The following is a 22,351-nucleotide window of genomic DNA, read 5'->3' on the forward strand; positions in this document are numbered from 1 at the left end:
CCTCTCATCCCTACACCCAGCATGAGGGCCACCAAGGCTTGGGTGCTCAGTCACCTGTCCATGGCAGGTATCCCTTTGCCCTCCCCCCATCCCTGTCTAGGGCTCTGTCCCCATCTAGCACTTCCATCACCATCCCACTCTTGTCCTCCTCCCGAGAGATTTTTTTTTTTTTTTTTTTTTGAGGAGGAGTCTCAGTCTATCTCCCAGGCTGGAGTGCGGTGGCGCCATCTCAGCTCACTGCAACCTCCACCTCCCAGGTTCAAGCAATTCTCCTGCCTCAGCCTCCCGAGTAGCTGGGATTACGGATGCACGCTACTGTACCCAGCTAATTTGTGTATTTTTAGTAGAGACGGGGTTTCGCCATGTTGGCGAGGGTGGTCTTGAACTCGGAATCTCAGGTGATCCACCTGCCTCTGCTTCCCAAAGTGCTGGGATTACAGGCGTGAGCCACTGCACCCAGTACCCTCCTGAGAGATTCTAAGGAAACTTCAAATGTCTACCCCAGCTCCCTACTCCCATCAACAAGGCTCTCCTCCCAGGCCAGGTGCAGTGGCTCATGCCTATAATCCAGGCATATTGGGAGGCCAAGTTGGAAGGATCACTTGAGCCTAGGAGTTTGAGACCATCCTGGGCAACATAGCAAGACCCCATCTCTACAATAAATTAGCTGGAAATGGTGGTACACGCCTGTGTCCCACCTACCTGGGAGGCTGAGGTGGGAGGACTGCTTGAGCCTGGGAGGTCGAGGCTGCAGTGAGCTGTGATTGCACTACTGCACTCCAGCCTGGATGACAGAGTGAGACCCTGTCTCTAAAAAAAAAATCAAAAACACCCACCTCCTCCAGGGAGCCTTCCAGGAATCTGCACTAACTCTCCTTGCCTCAAACCCACCCCTGCAACCACAGGGGACCAGAAAAAACTGTAGTTTTTGCTCCCTGGGGCTGTCATTATAAAGCACAGCAATCTCCGTGCCTTACAATAACAGAAATGGATTGCCTTGCTGTCCTGGAGGCCAGAATCTAAAACCGAGGTGTCACAGGGCCATGATCCCTCTGAAGTCGCCAGGGAAGGGTCTGTCCCAGGCCTGTTTCCTGGTTGCGGGTGGTTGGTGGCAATCTCTGGCGTTCCTGGGCTGGTAGACGCTTTGCCTCCATCTTTACTTCATCTCGCTGTGGGTGTGTCTGTCTCTGTGTTGGGTTAGGACCCATGCTAGTGACCTCAGTTTAACTCGATCCCCTGCAAAAACCCTATCTCCAAATAAGGCCAACTTCTGGGGCACTGGGGATTAGGGTTCAGTTCAGCTCACAACAGAAAGGAATGAGGGGAGACCCTGCCGGGGTGGGGCATGAGGAGCAGACCTTTCAAAATTAAAAAGAAATATTTTTGGTTTTTATATTTTTTTAAGACATGGTCTCACTCTGTCCCAGGCTGGAGTGCAGTGACACTATCTCAGCTCATTGCAACCTCTGCCTCCCAGGTTCAAGTGATTCTCCTGCCTCAGCCTCCTGAGTAGCTGGGATTACAGGCGCCCACCACCTGTAATGCTGGCTAAATTATGCCTGGCTAATTTTTGTATTTTCAGTAGAGACGGGGGTTTCGCCATGTTGACCAGGCTGGTCTCGAACTCCTGACCTCAACTGATTTGTCCACCTCAGCCTCCCAAAGTGTGGGGATTACAGGCATGAGCCACTGCCCCTGGCTGATACAGTGACTTGTTTTCTTTTCATTAGATACCCAGTAGTGGGATTGCAGGATCAAATGGCAGATTTACTTTGAGTTCTCTGAGAAATCTCCATACTGTTTTCTATAGAGGTTGTACTGATTTACTTCCTGTCAGCAATGTATAAGCATTCCCTTTTTACCACATCCATGCCAACATCTATTTGCAGTTTTTTTTTTTGGCTTTTTAATAACGATCACTGTGACTGGGATATATTCTATATCTCATTGTGGTTTCAATTTGCATCTCCCTGATGATTAGTGATGTTGAGCATTTTTTCATATGCTTGGTGGTCATTTGTTGATCTTCTTTTGAGAAGTGTCTGTTCATGGCCTTTGCCCACTTTTTGATGGGAGGGAGCAGGCTTTCTTTTTTTTTTAAAAGAGAAATTGCTGACCAGGAGTAGTGATTCATGCCTGTAATCCCAGCCCTTTGGGAGGCTGAGGCGGTGGATCACTTGAGGTCAGGAGTTCAAGATCAGCCTGGCCAACCTGGCAAAACCCCATCTCTACTAAAAATAGAAAAATTATCTGGGCATGGTGTGACAAGCCTGTAATCTCAGCCCCTCAGGAGGCTGAGACACGACAATCACTTGAATCTGGGAGGCAGAGGTTGCCGTGAGCCGAGATGGCATCACTGCACTCCAGCCTGGGCGACAAAGTGAGACTCTATCTCAAAAAAAAAAAAGAAAAAGAAGAAATTGCTAATAGCTGGAACAAAACGGCAAGGGAGGAAACAAGTGAGGAGAAGGGGGGTTGTGACCGCAACTGCTTCTGCCTCCTTCTCTTCCATCCCCATCCTCCCACCTCCCATGGCCCTCCAGTGGGGAGGTAGTTGCCTGGTCTGCGGGGCCTCAACCCAACCCATTGCCCTAACCTTCTGAGATCAGATGAACGCTTTGGCTTCAACATGAACAATCTATTTCTCTGTAATTGGTCAAAATTAATGGAGAATAGCACTTGAGCACTGATCTTTTATTTCACTCCCAAACCTCCTCCCTGCTCTGTCTCCTCCTTTTTTTTTTTTTTTTTTTTCTGAGATGGCGCCTTGCCCTGTCGCCCAGGCTGGAGTGCTGTAGCGTGATGTCAGCTCACTGCAACCTCCACCTCCATCTTGATGGGAGGGAGCAGGCCTTCTTTTAAAAAAAGAAATCGTTGACCAGGAGCAGTGGTTTATGTCTGTAATCTCAGCATTTTGGGAGGCTGGCACACTCTGTCTTAGGTGACTGACCACGGCCACCAGCACCCCACTTGAGGACTGCACTCCAGCCTGGGTAACAGACGGAGACCACGTCTCTAAAAAAAAGAAAAATTTAATGGGTTTGGGGAGAACAGAGCCAACATAAAAACAATTAGAGGACCAGGCATGGGTGGTTCATGCCTGGAATCCCAGCACTTTGGGAGGCTGAGGTGGGAGGATCGCTTGAGCCCAGAAGTTTGAGACCAGCCTGGGCAACACAGGGAGACTTTCATCTCTACAAAAAAATGTAAAAATTAGGCATTGTGGTGTGCGCCTGTGGTCCCAGCTACTTGGGAGGCTGAGGTAGGAGGATCACTTGAGGCCAGGAGGTGGAGGCTGCAATAAGCCATGTTTGCACCACTGCAATCCAGCCTGGGTGACAGAGGGAGACTCCGTCTTAAGAAAAAAAAAAAAAGAGGCTTGGCATGGTGGCTTACACCTGTAATCCCAGCACTTTGGGAGGCCAAGGCAGGCGGATCACTTGAGGCCAGGAGTTTAAGACCAGCCTGGCTAACATGGTGAAAATCTGTCTCTACAAAAAATATAGGCCAAGCACAGTGGCTCACACCAGTAATCCCAGCACTTTGGGAGGCCAAGGCGGGCGGATTGCATGAGGTCAGGAGTTCGAGACCAGCCTGGCCAACATGGTGAAACCCCGCCTCTACTAAAAATACAAAAAAATTAGCCAGGTGTAGTTATGTGCCCCTGTAATCCCAGCTACTCAGGAGGCTGAGGCAGGTAAATCTCTTGAACCTGGGAGGTGGAGGTTGCAGCGAGCCAGGATCATGCCACTGCGCTCCAGCCTGGGTGACAGAGCGAGATCTCTCTCTCAAAAAAAAAAAAAAAAAGCTGGGCATGGTGATGCATGCCTGTAGTCCCAGCTACTTGGGAGACTGAAGTTGAAGGATTGCTTGAACCCAGGAGGCGGAGATTGCAGTGAGCCAAGACTGCACTCCAGCCTGGGCAACAGTGAGACCTTGTCTCAAAAAAGAAAGAAAGAAAAAATAAAAATAAAAGAAAGCAGTTATGGAGGAGCCCACACGGTAGATGTTGTGGAACTGAGTGCTTGCTGTGTGTGGTGGACTCACCCCAATAACACTGTCCAAGTCCCAGTCCCTTCTCTCCCCTTGTCTCCTATACTCACCCCTGCAAAGCTTTTTTACTTCCCTCTGACTCCACCCTCTTCCCACCTCTTAGGGGTCAGTGGATCAGGGCCTACCGGGCACAGTGGAGTGAAGGTGCTCACGGGGAGCCCTTGGCCTCCTATATCTGCCTGGATTTACCTGCAGGGGCCAGGCCCAGGCAGGGACAGGGGTATGCTGTTTCCAGGAAGTCCTGCTGTGGGCCTGGGCCTATGGCCTGGCTTTGCCATAAGGAGGGCTGGCTATGGAATCCATGAAGCCTCGTTGGCCTTGGTAACTTGGCCTTGTCACTCCATCCCTGGCACACTCTGTCTTAGGTAGCCAACCCCAGCCACTAGCACCCCACAGACTAAGCGACTTCATGCAGCTCATAGTGCTGAGATAATGGGGCTGAGACCTCTCATCTGGTTCTAGACGAAACTGGTTACATAATTTTAGGGCCCAGAGCAAAATGGACATGCAAGGCCCTTCGTTCAAAGATTTCTTGTGGTTTTTAAGAGATATGACCTCGCTCTGTTGCCCAGGCTGGAGTGCGGTGGTGCCATCATAGCTCACTGCAGCCTTGAACTCCTGGGCTCAAGTGGTCTTCCCGCCTCAGCCTCCCAATTAGCTGGGACTAGAGGTAAGCACCACCACGCCCGATTAATTGTTTTTTAGTAGAGGTAGCATCTCACCATGTTGCCTAGGCTGATCTCAAACTGTGGCCTCAAGTGATCCACCTACCTCAGCCTCTTGAGTACCTGGGACTACAGGCACGCACCACCATGCCCAGCTAATTTTTTTTATTTTTAGTACAGACGAGGTCTTGCTATGTTTCTGAGGCTGGTCTCAAACTCATGGCCTCAAGCAACCCTCCCCACTTGGCTTCCCAAAGTGCTGGGATTACAGGTGTGAGCCATCATGCCTGGCCTATTTTATTTTTTCATTATTGAAAGATAATATGCCAGACACAGTGGCTCATGTCTGTAATTCCAGCATTTTGGGAGGCCGAGGCTGGAGGATCACTTTGGACCCAGAGCTTGGGACTATCTGGGCAACATAGCAAGACCCCATCTGTATGTCTATTAAAAGTAATAAAAAGAAATTATATTATATTATATTATACTAATTTGCATGAATCCAGTGTGGATGAAAGGTAGTAAGTGAGGTTGGGGGTGGGGCACCTAGGGCCCATGCCCAGCCCTAATTTTTATATTTTATATTTCTTGTAGAGATGAGGTTTCTCGCTATTGCTCAGGCTGGTCTCGAACTCCTGGTCTCAAGTGATCCACCGCCCCTTGGTCCCCTAAAGGGCTGGGATTACAAGCATGAACCACCATGCCTGGCCAATCTATTTATTCTTGAGTGAGCTTTTCTAGTTTGTGTCTTCCAGAGAATTTGTTCATTTCATCTAAGTTGTCAAATTTATTGGCATGAAGTTGTTTACAGATCTCCATTTTAACATCTGTAGAATCTGAGAGCCCTGGTAGTTTTCTTCATGTGTCTTGTGTTTGGAGTTGTTGAATTTTTTGGAGCTGTGGGCTTATAGTTTTTATCAAGTTTGAAAATTTGGGGCCATTCTTTCTTCACATATTTTTTAGTTACCCCTTTTTCTCCTTGCCTTTAGGGACTCCTATATATTAGGCTGCTTAAAGTTGTCCCAACACTTACTGATAATCTTTAAAAAAAAATTTCTTTTTTTTTTGAGAGAGGATTTCATTCCATTGTCCAGACTGGAGTGCAGTGATGCAATCTGAGCTCACTGCAACCTCCGCCTTTAGGGCTCAAGCAGTTCTCCTGTCTCGGCCTCTCAAGTAGCTGGTACTACAGGTGCATGCCATGATGCCCAGCAAATTTTTGTATTTTTTGTTGAGATGGAGGTTTCATCATGTTGCCCAGGCTGGTCTCGAACTCCTGGGCTCAAGTGATCTGCCTGTCTGGGCTTCCCAAAGTGCTGGGATTACAGGTGTGAGCCACTGCACCTCACCCTTAAATTTTTTTTTAATTCTTTTTTTTTTTTTTTTTGAGATGGAGTCTTGCTCCGTCACCCAGGCTGGAGTGCAGTGGCACGATCTTGGCTCACTGCAACCTCTGCCTCCCAGTTCAAGTGATTCTTCTGCCTCAGCCTCCCGAGTAGCTGGGACTACAGGTGTATGCCATCACACCCAGCTAATTTTTGTATTTTTAGTAGAGACAGGGTTTCACTATATTTGCCAGGCTGGTCTCGAACTCCTGACCTTGTGATCTGCCCGCCTCGGCCTCTCAAAGTGCTGGGATTACAGGCATAAGCCACCGCGTCCAGATCATTTTTTCTTTACGTCTTTCAGTGTGGATAGTTTCTATTGCCATCCCTTCACATCATTATTTATTTTCTTCTTCAATGTCTAATCTGTCCTTAATCCCATCTGGTGTATTTTTTTTATCTCTAGAAGTTCTGTTTGTTTATATACACATTTTTCCATGTTTCTATTGGATTATTGCACATATGGAACAGTTATAGAAGCTATTTTGGACTGGATGCGGTGGCTCATACCTGTAATCCCAGCACTTTGGGAGGCTGAGGCAGCAGGATCCCTTGAGGCCCAGAGTTCAAGAGCAGCCTGGGCAGCATAGTGAGACCCCTGTCTCTACAAAAAAAAAAAACTTTTAAAAAACTGGCTAGGTGTGGTGTCTCATGCCTGTAGTGCCAGCTACTCAGGAGGCTGAAGTGGAAGAATTGCTTGAGCCCAGGAATTTGAGGTTGCAGTAAGCTATGATTGCCCCACTGCACTCCAGCCTGGGCGATACAGAGAGACACTGTCTCTTAAAAATTAATAAATAAGTCCGGACGTGGTGGTTCATGCCTGTAAACCCAGCATTTTGGGAGGCCGAAGCCAGCAGATCACCTGAGGTCGGGAGTTCGAGACCAGCCTGACCAACGTGGAGAAACCCCATCTCTACTAAAAATACAAGATTAGTTGGGGTGTGGTGGCGCATGCCTGTAATCCCAGCTACTCGGGAGGCTGAGGCAGGAGAATCACTTGAACCCAGAAGGCAGAGGTTGTGGTGAGCCAAGATCACACCATTGCACTCCAGCCTGGGCAACAAGAGCAAAACTACATCTCAAAAAAGAAAAAAAAAAAATAGCTGGACACGGTGGCAGGTGTCTGTAATCCCAGCTACTCAGGAGGCTGAGGCAGGAGGATTGCTTGAACCTGGGAGGCAGAGGTTGCAGTGAGCAGAGATCGCGCCACTGCACTCCAGCCTGGGCAACAGAGCGAGGCTCTGTCTCTAAATACATACATACATACATGTATACATACATACACACACACATACTACTTAAATGCCTTTCTCTGAAGATTCTTATGTCTGTGTCCATTCTGGGTAGGTTTCCATAGGTTGATTATTTTTCTCTCCATCGTTCATGTTTTCTTGACTGTTCATACTCAGTAATGATTCATGCCAGATGTTGTGAATTTTACCTTGTTGGGTGCTGGGAATTTTTGCATTCCGTTTTTTAATTAATTTATTATTATTATTATTATTTTTTGAGACAGAGTCTCGCTCTGTTGGCCAGGCCGGAGTGCAGTGGCACGATCTCAGCTCACTGCAACCTCTGTCTCCCAGGCTCAAGCAATCCTCCTGCCTCAGCCTCCCGAGTAGCTGGGATTATAGGTGCACGCCGCCGCACCCGGCTAATTTTTGTATTTTTAGTAGAGACAGGGTTTCACCATGTTGGCCAGGCTGGTCTTGAACTCCTGACCTCAGGTAATACGCCTGGCTCGGCCTCCCAAAATGCTGAGATTACAGGCGTGAACCACCGTGCCCGACCTCTTTTAGGTTTTTTTTTAGTAAATTTTCTAGCTAAGAATATGTGACTGTACATTGTATTTTCTATTGAAGGACTTCAGTTGTCTGATTAATAAATTAAACTTCCCAAGTACTTAAGAAATTCCATAAATCTAACAAATTAAATGTATATATTTTTAAAACTTTCCCACACATAGATTGTTCTACGGGTCTAATTAAATGTTTACGTGTGTTGAACCTTAAGTTCTCTTAAATGTTTTAACAGTTTACAATCTTAGCAATGTTCTAATGGAAAATCACAAATCTAAATCAACCACTCACTTATATATTTCAAATAGCAATTACAATGTTGGCTTTTTTTTTTTTTTTTGAGTCTTGCCCTGTCACCCAGGCTGGAGTACAGTGGTGTGATCTTGGCTCACTGCAACCTCTGACTCCCAGATTCAAGCAATTCTCCTGCCTCTGGCTCCCAAGTAGTTGGGACTACAGGTGCACATGCCACCATGCCCAGCTAATTTTTGTATTTTTAGTAGAGACAGGGTTTTGCCATGTTGGCCAGGCTGGTCTCGAACTCCTGACCTCGTGATCCACCTGCCTCAGCTTCCCAAAGTGCTGGGATTACAGGCATGAGCCACCACGCCCAGTCAGTTGGCATGTTATTCTAATAGGTCATATTCTATCTTTTAAAAAATATTTATTTATTCATTTTAGAGACAAGGTCTCACTCTGTCACCCAGGCTAGAGTGCAGTGGTGCCATCATAGCTCATTATGAACATGATCTCCTGGGCTCAAGTGATCCTCCTGCCTCAGCCTCCTGGGTAGCTGGGACTACAGGCATGTGCCACCATCCCCAGCTAATTTTTATAAAATTTTGTAGAGACAGGGTCTCACTCTGTCACCTAGGCTGGAGTGCAGTAGTGCAATCATAGCTCACTGTAGCCTTGACCTCCTGGGCTCAAGCGATCCTCTCCCCCCAGCCTCCAAAGTGCTGGAACTACGGGCACATGCCACCTGCACAATTTGACATTGCTGGACCTCCTCCAGGCTGGGGAGCAAATCCCCTGTACCATCTTCTTGCTTTACTTTCTGGGGCAGGGTCCTGATGGCTGATTTCTAACTAAAATCAGCAGGCTGGTTCAGGGGCCAGGGACTTTCCAGGGCAGGGAGTAGAGACTCAGAGTCTTCAAGAGAATGAAGGAAGATCATGGCTCTGGGATACTAACTCCCCTTTGTCTCTTTCAGACCTCAGTGTGAACAGGGCTGTGTGGGATGGAGGAGGGTGCATCTCCCAAGGGGACGTCTTGAACCGTCAGTGCCAGCAGCTGTCTCAGCACGTTAGGACAGGTAAGGCAACAGACTCCAAGATCTATCTGGGAAGGTGGCTCACCTGCGAAAGGGCTAGAGCGACCCCTGCCAGGCTGGTGAAGCTGCCATATTTTACAGTGTGTGACGGCTTGAGATCTGGGGCCAGGAATTACAAGGCAGATGTGGAATCACCCAGGCAGGGACTGTGGAGGAAAGGGGTCGAGTTCAATTCCTAACTGCATAGAAGGGAAGGCAGGAGAGACTAACACACTGGAGAAACTAATTCCACTTCTTCCTGAAAACGGATGACATCCCTTATCTGAACACATTTTCAGTAAAAAGCCCAACTACAACAATCACTCCTGACATACAGAACCCTAAGAAACTTCTAAACAAAATATCATTGTATCTTAAACAGGTTCTGCGGCAAACACCGCCACAGGTACAACATCTACAAATGTCGTGGAGCCAAGAATGTATTTGAGTTGCAGCACCAACCCTGAGATGACCTCGATTGAGTCCAGTGTGACTTCAGACACTCCTGGTGTCTCCAGTACCAGGATGACACCAACAGAATCCAGAACAACTTCAGAATCTACCAGTGACAGCACCACACTTTTCCCCAGTTCTACTGAAGACACTTCATCTCCTACAACTCCTGAAGGCACCGACGTGCCCATGTCAACACCAAGTGAAGAAAGCATTTCATCAACAATGGCTTTTGTCAGCACTGCACCTCTTCCCAGTTTTGAGGCCTACACATCTTTAACATATAAGGTTGATATGAGCACACCTCTGACCACTTCTACTCAGGCAAGTTCATCTCCTACTACTCCTGAAAGCACCACCATACCCAAATCAACTAACAGTGAAGGAAGCACTCCATTAACAAGTATGCCTGCCAGCACCATGAAGGTGGCCAGTTCAGAGGCTATCACCCTTTTGACAACTCCTGTTGAAATCAGCACACCTGTGACCATTTCTGCTCAAGCCAGTTCATCTCCTACAACTGCTGAAGGTCCCAGCCTGTCAAACTCAGCTCCTAGTGGAGGAAGCACTCCATTAACAAGAATGCCTCTCAGCGTGATGCTGGTGGTCAGTTCTGAGGCTAGCACCCTTTCAACAACTCCTGCTGCCACCAACATTCCTGTGATCACTTCTACTGAAGCCAGTTCATCTCCTACAACGGCTGAAGGCACCAGCATACCAACCTCAACTTATACTGAAGGAAGCACTCCATTAACAAGTACGCCTGCCAGCACCATGCCGGTTGCCACTTCTGAAATGAGCACACTTTCAATAACTCCTGTTGACACCAGCACACTTGTGACCACTTCTACTGAACCCAGTTCACTTCCTACAACTGCTGAAGCTACCAGCATGCTAACCTCAACTCTTAGTGAAGGAAGCACTCCATTAACAAATATGCCTGTCAGCACCATATTGGTGGCCAGTTCTGAGGCTAGCACCACTTCAACAATTCCTGTTGACTCCAAAACTTTTGTGACCACTGCTAGTGAAGCCAGCTCATCTCCCACAACTGCTGAAGATACCAGCATTGCAACCTCAACTCCTAGTGAAGGAAGCACTCCATTAACAAGTATGCCTGTCAGCACCACTCCAGTGGCCAGTTCTGAGGCTAGCAACCTTTCAACAACTCCTGTTGACTCCAAAACTCAGGTGACCACTTCTACTGAAGCCAGTTCATCTCCTCCAACTGCTGAAGTTAACAGCATGCCAACCTCAACTCCTAGTGAAGGAAGCACTCCATTAACAAGTATGTCTGTCAGCACCATGCCGGTGGCCAGTTCTGAGGCTAGCACCCTTTCAACAACTCCTGTTGACACCAGCACACCTGTGACCACTTCTAGTGAAGCCAGTTCATCTTCTACAACTCCTGAAGGTACCAGCATACCAACCTCAACTCCTAGTGAAGGAAGCACTCCATTAACAAACATGCCTGTCAGCACCAGGCTGGTGGTCAGTTCTGAGGCTAGCACCACTTCAACAACTCCTGCTGACTCCAACACTTTTGTGACCACTTCTAGTGAAGCTAGTTCATCTTCTACAACTGCTGAAGGTACCAGCATGCCAACCTCAACTTACAGTGAAAGAGGCACTACAATAACAAGTATGTCTGTCAGCACCACACTGGTGGCCAGTTCTGAGGCTAGCACCCTTTCAACAACTCCTGTTGACTCCAACACTCCTGTGACCACTTCAACTGAAGCCACTTCATCTTCTACAACTGCGGAAGGTACCAGCATGCCAACCTCAACTTATACTGAAGGAAGCACTCCATTAACAAGTATGCCTGTCAACACCACACTGGTGGCCAGTTCTGAGGCTAGCACCCTTTCAACAACTCCTGTTGACACCAGCACACCTGTGACCACTTCAACTGAAGCCAGTTCCTCTCCTACAACTGCTGATGGTGCCAGTATGCCAACCTCAACTCCTAGTGAAGGAAGCACTCCATTAACAAGTATGCCTGTCAGCAAAACGCTGTTGACCAGTTCTGAGGCTAGCACCCTTTCAACAACTCCTCTTGACACAAGCACACATATCACCACTTCTACTGAAGCCAGTTGCTCTCCTACAACCACTGAAGGTACCAGCATGCCAATCTCAACTCCTAGTGAAGGAAGTCCTTTATTAACAAGTATACCTGTCAGCATCACACCGGTGACCAGTCCTGAGGCTAGCACCCTTTCAACAACTCCTGTTGACTCCAACAGTCCTGTGACCACTTCTACTGAAGTCAGTTCATCTCCTACACCTGCTGAAGGTACCAGCATGCCAACCTCAACTTATAGTGAAGGAAGAACTCCTTTAACAAGTATGCCTGTCAGCACCACACTGGTGGCCACTTCTGCAATCAGCACCCTTTCAACAACTCCTGTTGACACCAGCACACCTGTGACCAATTCTACTGAAGCCCGTTCGTCTCCTACAACTTCTGAAGGTACCAGCATGCCAACCTCAACTCCTGGGGAAGGAAGCACTCCATTAACAAGTATGCCTGACAGCACCACGCCGGTAGTCAGTTCTGAGGCTAGAACACTTTCAGCAACTCCTGTTGACACCAGCACACCTGTGACCACTTCTACTGAAGCCACTTCATCTCCTACAACTGCTGAAGGTACCAGCATACCAACCTCGACTCCTAGTGAAGGAACGACTCCATTAACAAGCACACCTGTCAGCCACACGCTGGTGGCCAATTCTGAGGCTAGCACCCTTTCAACAACTCCTGTTGACTCCAACACTCCTTTGACCACTTCTACTGAAGCCAGTTCACCTCCTCCCACTGCTGAAGGTACCAGCATGCCAACCTCAACTCCTAGTGAAGGAAGCACTCCATTAACACGTATGCCTGTCAGCACCACAATGGTGGCCAGTTCTGAAACGAGCACACTTTCAACAACTCCTGCTGACACCAGCACACCTGTGACCACTTATTCTCAAGCCAGTTCATCTTCTACAACTGCTGACGGTACCAGCATGCCAACCTCAACTTATAGTGAAGGAAGCACTCCACTAACAAGTGTGCCTGTCAGCACCAGGCTGGTGGTCAGTTCTGAGGCTAGCACCCTTTCCACAACTCCTGTCGACACCAGCATACCTGTCACCACTTCTACTGAAGCCAGTTCATCTCCTACAACTGCTGAAGGTACCAGCATACCAACCTCACCTCCCAGTGAAGGAACCACTCCGTTAGCAAGTATGCCTGTCAGCACCACGCTGGTGGTCAGTTCTGAGGCTAACACCCTTTCAACAACTCCTGTGGACTCCAAAACTCAGGTGGCCACTTCTACTGAAGCCAGTTCACCTCCTCCAACTGCTGAAGTTACCAGCATGCCAACCTCAACTCCTGGAGAAAGAAGCACTCCATTAACAAGTATGCCTGTCAGACACACGCCAGTGGCCAGTTCTGAGGCTAGCACCCTTTCAACATCTCCCGTTGACACCAGCACACCTGTGACCACTTCTGCTGAAACCAGTTCCTCTCCTACAACCGCTGAAGGTACCAGCTTGCCAACCTCAACTACTAGTGAAGGAAGTACTCTATTAACAAGTATACCTGTCAGCACCACGCTGGTGACCAGTCCTGAGGCTAGCACCCTTTTAACAACTCCTGTTGACACTAAAGGTCCTGTGGTCACTTCTAATGAAGTCAGTTCATCTCCTACACCTGCTGAAGGTACCAGCATGCCAACCTCAACTTATAGTGAAGGAAGAACTCCTTTAACAAGTATACCTGTCAACACCACACTGGTGGCCAGTTCTGCAATCAGCATCCTTTCAACAACTCCTGTTGACAACAGCACACCTGTGACCACTTCTACTGAAGCCTGTTCATCTCCTACAACTTCTGAAGGTACCAGCATGCCAAACTCAAATCCTAGTGAAGGAACCACTCCGTTAACAAGTATACCTGTCAGCACCACGCCGGTAGTCAGTTCTGAGGCTAGCACCCTTTCAGCAACTCCTGTTGACACCAGCACCCCTGGGACCACTTCTGCTGAAGCCACTTCATCTCCTACAACTGCTGAAGGTATCAGCATACCAACCTCAACTCCTAGTGAAGGAAAGACTCCATTAAAAAGTATACCTGTCAGCAACACGCCGGTGGCCAATTCTGAGGCTAGCACCCTTTCAACAACTCCTGTTGACTCTAACAGTCCTGTGGTCACTTCTACAGCAGTCAGTTCATCTCCTACACCTGCTGAAGGTACCAGCATAGCAATCTCAACGCCTAGTGAAGGAAGCACTGCATTAACAAGTATACCTGTCAGCACCACAACAGTGGCCAGTTCTGAAATCAACAGCCTTTCAACAACTCCTGCTGTCACCAGCACACCTGTGACCACTTATTCTCAAGCCAGTTCATCTCCTACAACTGCTGACGGTACCAGCATGCAAACCTCAACTTATAGTGAAGGAAGCACTCCACTAACAAGTTTGCCTGTCAGCACCATGCTGGTGGTCAGTTCTGAGGCTAACACCCTTTCAACAACCCCTATTGACTCCAAAACTCAGGTGACCGCTTCTACTGAAGCCAGTTCATCTACAACCGCTGAAGGTAGCAGCATGACAATCTCAACTCCTAGTGAAGGAAGTCCTCTATTAACAAGTATACCTGTCAGCACCACGCCGGTGGCCAGTCCTGAGGCTAGCACCCTTTCAACAACTCCTGTTGACTCCAACAGTCCTGTGATCACTTCTACTGAAGTCAGTTCATCTCCTACACCTGCTGAAGGTACCAGCATGCCAACCTCAACTTATACTGAAGGAAGAACTCCTTTAACAAGTATAACTGTCAGAACAACACCGGTGGCCAGCTCTGCAATCAGCACCCTTTCAACAACTCCCGTTGACAACAGCACACCTGTGACCACTTCTACTGAAGCCCGTTCATCTCCTACAACTTCTGAAGGTACCAGCATGCCAAACTCAACTCCTAGTGAAGGAACCACTCCATTAACAAGTATACCTGTCAGCACCACGCCGGTACTCAGTTCTGAGGCTAGCACCCTTTCAGCAACTCCTATTGACACCAGCACCCCTGTGACCACTTCTACTGAAGCCACTTCGTCTCCTACAACTGCTGAAGGTACCAGCATACCAACCTCGACTCTTAGTGAAGGAATGACTCCATTAACAAGCACACCTGTCAGCCACACGCTGGTGGCCAATTCTGAGGCTAGCACCCTTTCAACAACTCCTGTTGACTCTAACAGTCCTGTGGTCACTTCTACAGCAGTCAGTTCATCTCCTACACCTGCTGAAGGTACCAGCATAGCAACCTCAACGCCTAGTGAAGGAAGCACTGCATTAACAAGTATACCTGTCAGCACCACAACAGTGGCCAGTTCTGAAACCAACACCCTTTCAACAACTCCCGCTGTCACCAGCACACCTGTGACCACTTATGCTCAAGTCAGTTCATCTCCTACAACTGCTGACGGTAGCAGCATGCCAACCTCAACTCCTAGGGAAGGAAGGCCTCCATTAACAAGTATACCTGTCAGCACCACAACAGTGGCCAGTTCTGAAATCAACACCCTTTCAACAACTCTTGCTGACACCAGGACACCTGTGACCACTTATTCTCAAGCCAGTTCATCTCCTACAACTGCTGATGGTACCAGCATGCCAACCCCAGCTTATAGTGAAGGAAGCACTCCACTAACAAGTATGCCTCTCAGCACCACGCTGGTGGTCAGTTCTGAGGCTAGCACTCTTTCCACAACTCCTGTTGACACCAGCACTCCTGCCACCACTTCTACTGAAGGCAGTTCATCTCCTACAACTGCAGGAGGTACCAGCATACAAACCTCAACTCCTAGTGAACGGACCACTCCATTAGCAGGTATGCCTGTCAGCACTACGCTTGTGGTCAGTTCTGAGGGTAACACCCTTTCAACAACTCCTGTTGACTCCAAAACTCAGGTGACCAATTCTACTGAAGCCAGTTCATCTGCAACCGCTGAAGGTAGCAGCATGACAATCTCAGCTCCTAGTGAAGGAAGTCCTCTACTAACAAGTATACCTCTCAGCACCACGCCGGTGGCCAGTCCTGAGGCTAGCACCCTTTCAACAACTCCTGTTGACTCCAACAGTCCTGTGATCACTTCTACTGAAGTCAGTTCATCTCCTATACCTACTGAAGGTACCAGCATGCAAACCTCAACTTATAGTGACAGAAGAACTCCTTTAACAAGTATGCCTGTCAGCACCACAGTGGTGGCCAGTTCTGCAATCAGCACCCTTTCAACAACTCCTGTTGACACCAGCACACCTGTGACCAATTCTACTGAAGCCCGTTCATCTCCTACAACTTCTGAAGGTACCAGCATGCCAACCTCAACTCCTAGTGAAGGAAGCACTCCATTCACAAGTATGCCTGTCAGCACCATGCCGGTAGTTACTTCTGAGGCTAGCACCCTTTCAGCAACTCCTGTTGACACCAGCACACCTGTGACCACTTCTACTGAAGCCACTTCATCTCCTACAACTGCTGAAGGTACCAGCATACCAACTTCAACTCTTAGTGAAGGAACGACTCCATTAACAAGTATACCTGTCAGCCACACGCTGGTGGCCAATTCTGAGGTTAGCACCCTTTCAACAACTCCTGTTGACTCCAACACTCCTTTCACTACTTCTACTGAAGCCAGTTCACCTCCTCCCACTGCTGAAGGTACCAGCATGCCAACCTCAACTTCTAGTGAAGGAAACACTCCATTAACACGTATGCCTGTCAGCACCACAATGGTGGCCAGTTTTGAAACAAGCACACTTTCTACAACTCCTGCTGACACCAGCACACCTGTGACTACTTATTCTCAAGCCGGTTCATCTCCTACAACTGCTGACGATACTAGCATGCCAACCTCAACTTATAGTGAAGGAAGCACTCCACTAACAAGTGTGCCTGTCAGCACCATGCCGGTGGTCAGTTCTGAGGCTAGCACCCATTCCACAACTCCTGTTGACACCAGCACACCTGTCACCACTTCTACTGAAGCCAGTTCATCTCCTACAACTGCTGAAGGTACCAGCATACCAACCTCACCTCCTAGTGAAGGAACCACTCCGTTAGCAAGTATGCCTGTCAGCACCACGCCGGTGGTCAGTTCTGAGGCTGGCACCCTTTCCACAACTCCTGTTGACACCAGCACACCTATGACCACTTCTACTGAAGCCAGTTCATCTCCTACAACTGCTGAAGATATCGTCGTGCCAATCTCAACTGCTAGTGAAGGAAGTACTCTATTAACAAGTATACCTGTCAGCACCACGCCAGTGGCCAGTCCTGAGGCTAGCACCCTTTCAACAACTCCTGTTGACTCCAACAGTCCTGTGGTCACTTCTACTGAAATCAGTTCATCTGCTACATCCGCTGAAGGTACCAGCATGCCTACCTCAACTTATAGTGAAGGAAGCACTCCATTAAGAAGTATGCCTGTCAGCACCAAGCCGTTGGCCAGTTCTGAGGCTAGCACTCTTTCAACAACTCCTGTTGACACCAGCATACCTGTCACCACTTCTACTGAAACCAGTTCATCTCCTACAACTGCAAAAGATACCAGCATGCCAATCTCAACTCCTAGTGAAGTAAGTACTTCATTAACAAGTATACTTGTCAGCACCATGCCAGTGGCCAGTTCTGAGGCTAGCACCCTTTCAACAACTCCTGTTGACACCAGGACACTTGTGACCACTTCCACTGGAACCAGTTCATCTCCTACAACTGCTGAAGGTAGCAGCATGCCAACCTCAACTCCTGGTGAAAGAAGCACTCCATTAACAAATATACTTGTCAGCACCACGCTGTTGGCCAATTCTGAGGCTAGCACCCTTTCAACAACTCCTGTTGACACCAGCACACCTGTCACCACTTCTGCTGAAGCCAGTTCTTCTCCTACAACTGCTGAAGGTACCAGCATGCGAATCTCAACTCCTAGTGATGGAAGTACTCCATTAACAAGTATACTTGTCAGCACCCTGCCAGTGGCCAGTTCTGAGGCTAGCACCGTTTCAACAACTGCTGTTGACACCAGCATACCTGTCACCACTTCTACTGAAGCCAGTTCCTCTCCTACAACTGCTGAAGTTACCAGCATGCCAACCTCAACTCCTAGTGAAACAAGTACTCCATTAACTAGTATGCCTGTCAACCACACGCCAGTGGCCAGTTCTGAGGCTGGCACCCTTTCAACAACTCCTGTTGACACCAGCACACCTGTGACCACTTCTACTAAAGCCAGTTCATCTCCTACAACTGCTGAAGGTATCGTCGTGCCAATCTCAACTGCTAGTGAAGGAAGTACTCTATTAACAAGTATACCTGTCAGCACCACGCCGGTGGCCAGTTCTGAGGCTAGCACCCTTTCAACAACTCCTGTTGATACCAGCATACCTGTCACCACTTCTACTGAAGGCAGTTCTTCTCCTACAACTGCTGAAGGTACCAGCATGCCAATCTCAACTCCTAGTGAAGTAAGTACTCCATTAACAAGTATACTTGTCAGCACCGTGCCAGTGGCCGGTTCTGAGGCTAGCACCCTTTCAACAACTCCTGTTGACACCAGGACACCTGTCACCACTTCTGCTGAAGCTAGTTCTTCTCCTACAACTGCTGAAGGTACCAGCATGCCAATCTCAACTCCTGGCGAAAGAAGAACTCCATTAACAAGTATGTCTGTCAGCACCATGCCGGTGGCCAGTTCTGAGGCTAGCACCCTTTCAAGAACTCCTGCTGACACCAGCACACCTGTGACCACTTCTACTGAAGCCAGTTCCTCTCCTACAACTGCTGAAGGTACCGGCATACCAATCTCAACTCCTAGTGAAGGAAGTACTCCATTAACAAGTATACCTGTCAGCACCACGCCAGTGGCCATTCCTGAGGCTAGCACCCTTTCAACAACTCCTGTTGACTCCAACAGTCCTGTGGTCACTTCTACTGAAGTCAGTTCATCTCCTACACCTGCTGAAGGTACCAGCATGCCAATCTCAACTTATAGTGAAGGAAGCACTCCATTAACAGGTGTGCCTGTCAGCACCACACCGGTGACCAGTTCTGCAATCAGCACCCTTTCAACAACTCCTGTTGACACCAGCACACCTGTGACCACTTCTACTGAAGCCCATTCATCTCCTACAACTTCTGAAGGTACCAGCATGCCAACCTCAACTCCTAGTGAAGGAAGTACTCCATTAACATATATGCCTGTCAGCACCATGCTGGTAGTCAGTTCTGAGGATAGCACCCTTTCAGCAACTCCTGTTGACACCAGCACACCTGTGACCACTTCTACTGAAGCCACTTCATCTACAACTGCTGAAGGTACCAGCATTCCAACCTCAACTCCTAGTGAAGGAATGACTCCATTAACTAGTGTACCTGTCAGCAACACGCCGGTGGCCAGTTCTGAGGCTAGCATCCTTTCAACAACTCCTGTTGACTCCAACACTCCTTTGACCACTTCTACTGAAGCCAGTTCATCTCCTCCCACTGCTGAAGGTACCAGCATGCCAACCTCAACTCCTAGTGAAGGAAGCACTCCATTAACAAGTATGCCTGTCAGCACCACAACGGTGGCCAGTTCTGAAACGAGCACCCTTTCAACAACTCCTGCTGACACCAGCACACCTGTGACCACTTATTCTCAAGCCAGTTCATCTCCTCCAATTGCTGACGGTACTAGCATGCCAACCTCAACTTATAGTGAAGGAAGCACTCCACTAACAAATATGTCTTTCAGCACCACGCCAGTGGTCAGTTCTGAGGCTAGCACCCTTTCCACAACTCCTGTTGACACCAGCACACCTGTCACCACTTCTACTGAAGCCAGTTTATCTCCTACAACTGCTGAAGGTACCAGCATACCAACCTCAAGTCCTAGTGAAGGAACCACTCCATTAGCAAGTATGCCTGTCAGCACCACGCCGGTGGTCAGTTCTGAGGTTAACACCCTTTCAACAACTCCTGTGGACTCCAACACTCTGGTGACCACTTCTACTGAAGCCAGTTCATCTCCTACAATCGCTGAAGGTACCAGCTTGCCAACCTCAACTACTAGTGAAGGAAGCACTCCATTATCAATTATGCCTCTCAGTACCACGCCGGTGGCCAGTTCTGAGGCTAGCACCCTTTCAACAACTCCTGTTGACACCAGCACACCTGTGACCACTTCTTCTCCAACCAATTCATCTCCTACAACTGCTGAAGTTACCAGCATGCCAACATCAACTGCTGGTGAAGGAAGCACTCCATTAACAAATATGCCTGTCAGCACCACACCGGTGGCCAGTTCTGAGGCTAGCACCCTTTCAACAACTCCTGTTGACTCCAACACTTTTGTTACCAGTTCTAGTCAAGCCAGTTCATCTCCAGCAACTCTTCAGGTCACCACTATGCGTATGTCTACTCCAAGTGAAGGAAGCTCTTCATTAACAACTATGCTCCTCAGCAGCACATATGTGACCAGTTCTGAGGCTAGCACACCTTCCACTCCTTCTGTTGACAGAAGCACACCTGTGACCACTTCTACTCAGAGCAATTCTACTCCTACACCTCCTGAAGTTATCACCCTGCCAATGTCAACTCCTAGTGAAGTAAGCACTCCATTAACCATTATGCCTGTCAGCACCACATCGGTGACCATTTCTGAGGCTGGCACAGCTTCAACACTTCCTGTTGACACCAGCACACCTGTGATCACTTCTACCCAAGTCAGTTCATCTCCTGTGACTCCTGAAGGTACCACCATGCCAATCTGGACGCCTAGTGAAGGAAGCACTCCATTAACAACTATGCCTGTCAGCACCACACGTGTGACCAGCTCTGAGGGTAGCACCCTTTCAACACCTTCTGTTGTCACCAGCACACCTGTGACCACTTCTACTGAAGCCATTTCATCTTCTGCAACTCTTGACAGCACCACCATGTCTGTGTCAATGCCCATGGAAATAAGCACCCTTGGGACCACTATTCTTGTCAGTACCACACCTGTTACGAGGTTTCCTGAGAGTAGCACCCCTTCCATACCATCTGTTTACACCAGCATGTCTATGACCACTGCCTCTGAAGGCAGTTCATCTCCTACAACTCTTGAAGGCACCACCACCATGCCTATGTCAACTACGAGTGAAAGAAGCACTTTATTGACAACTGTCCTCATCAGCCCTATATCTGTGATGAGTCCTTCTGAGGCCAGCACACTTTCAACACCTCCTGGTGATACCAGCACACCTTTGCTCACCTCTACCAAAGCCGGTTCATTCTCCATACCTGCTGAAGTCACTACCATACGTATTTCAATTACCAGTGAAAGAAGCACTCCATTAACAACTCTCCTTGTCAGCACCACACTTCCAACTAGCTTTCCTGGGGCCAGCATAGCTTCGACACCTCCTCTTGACACAAGCACAACTTTTACCCCTTCTACTGACACTGCCTCAACTCCCACAATTCCTGTAGCCACCACCATATCTGTATCAGTGATCACAGAAGGAAGCACACCTGGGACAACCATTTTTATTCCCAGCACTCCTGTCACCAGTTCTACTGCTGATGTCTTTCCTGCAACAACTGGTGCTGTATCTACCCCTGTGATAACTTCCACTGAACTAAACACACCATCAACCTCCAGTAGTAGTACCACCACATCTTTTTCAACTACTAAGGAATTTACAACACCCGCAATGACTACTGCAGCTCCCCTCACATATGTGACCATGTCTACTGCCCCCAGCACACCCAGAACAACCAGCAGAGGCTGCACTACTTCTGCATCAACGCTTTCTGCAACCAGTACACCTCACACCTCTACTTCTGTCACCACCCGTCCTGTGACCCCTTCATCAGAATCCAGCAGGCCGTCAACAATTACTTCTCACACCATCCCACCTACATTTCCTCCTGCTCACTCCAGTACACCTCCAACAACCTCTGCCTCCTCCACGACTGTGAACCCTGAGGCTGTCACCACCATGACCACCAGGACAAAACCCAGCACACGGACCACTTCCTTCCCCACGGTGACCACCACCGCTGTCCCCACGAATACTACAATTAAGAGCAACCCCACCTCAACTCCTACTGTGCCAAGAACCACAACATGTAAGTGATTTCTTGAATTTTCCTTTTTTTTAAAATTATACTGTAAGTTCTAGGGTACATGTGCACAACGTGCAGGTTTGTTACCTATGTATACGTGTGCCATGTTGGTTTGCTGCACCCATTAACTCATCATTTACATTAGGTATTTCTCGTAATGCTATCCCTCCCCCATCCCCCTACCCCATGGCAGGCCCCGGTGTGTGATGTTCCCTGCCCTGTGTCCAAGTGTTCTCATTGTTCAGTTCCCACCTATGAGTGAGAACATTTGGTGTTTGGTTTTCTGTCCTTGTGATAGTTTGCTCAGAATGATGGTTTCCAGCTTCATCCATGTCCCTACAAAGGATGTGAACTCGTCCTTTTTTAATGGCTGCATAGTATTCCATGGAGTGAACAGGCAACCTACAGAATGGGAGGAAATTTTTGCAATCTACCCATCTGACAAAGAGCTAATATCCAGAATCTACAAAGAACTTAAACACATTTACGAGAAAAAAATCAAACAACCCCATCAAAAAGTGGGCAAAGGATAAGAACAG

General features: G+C 48.4%; 1 protein-coding gene across 2 annotated transcripts in view; it reads left to right on the top strand.

Moving 5' to 3' along the window:
* The window catches only part of MUC17 (mucin 17, cell surface associated), a 38,779-nt gene that overhangs the window by 1,924 nt on the left and 14,504 nt on the right, over positions 1–22,351 (top strand). For both annotated transcript variants that reach the window (NR_133665.2, NM_001040105.2), the window contains exons 2-3: positions 9,116–9,217; positions 9,597–21,815. Coding sequence is in view for 1 of the 2 variants with exons in the window: in NM_001040105.2 (NP_001035194.1) it covers positions 9,116–9,217; positions 9,597–21,815 (12,321 nt within the window). In the remaining variant the exon portion in view is untranslated. The remainder of the gene's footprint in view (positions 1–9,115; positions 9,218–9,596; positions 21,816–22,351) is intronic.

Source organism: Homo sapiens, chromosome 7 (assembly GCF_000001405.40).
Source record: "Homo sapiens chromosome 7, GRCh38.p14 Primary Assembly".
Lineage (NCBI taxonomy): Eukaryota > Metazoa > Chordata > Mammalia > Primates > Hominidae > Homo > Homo sapiens.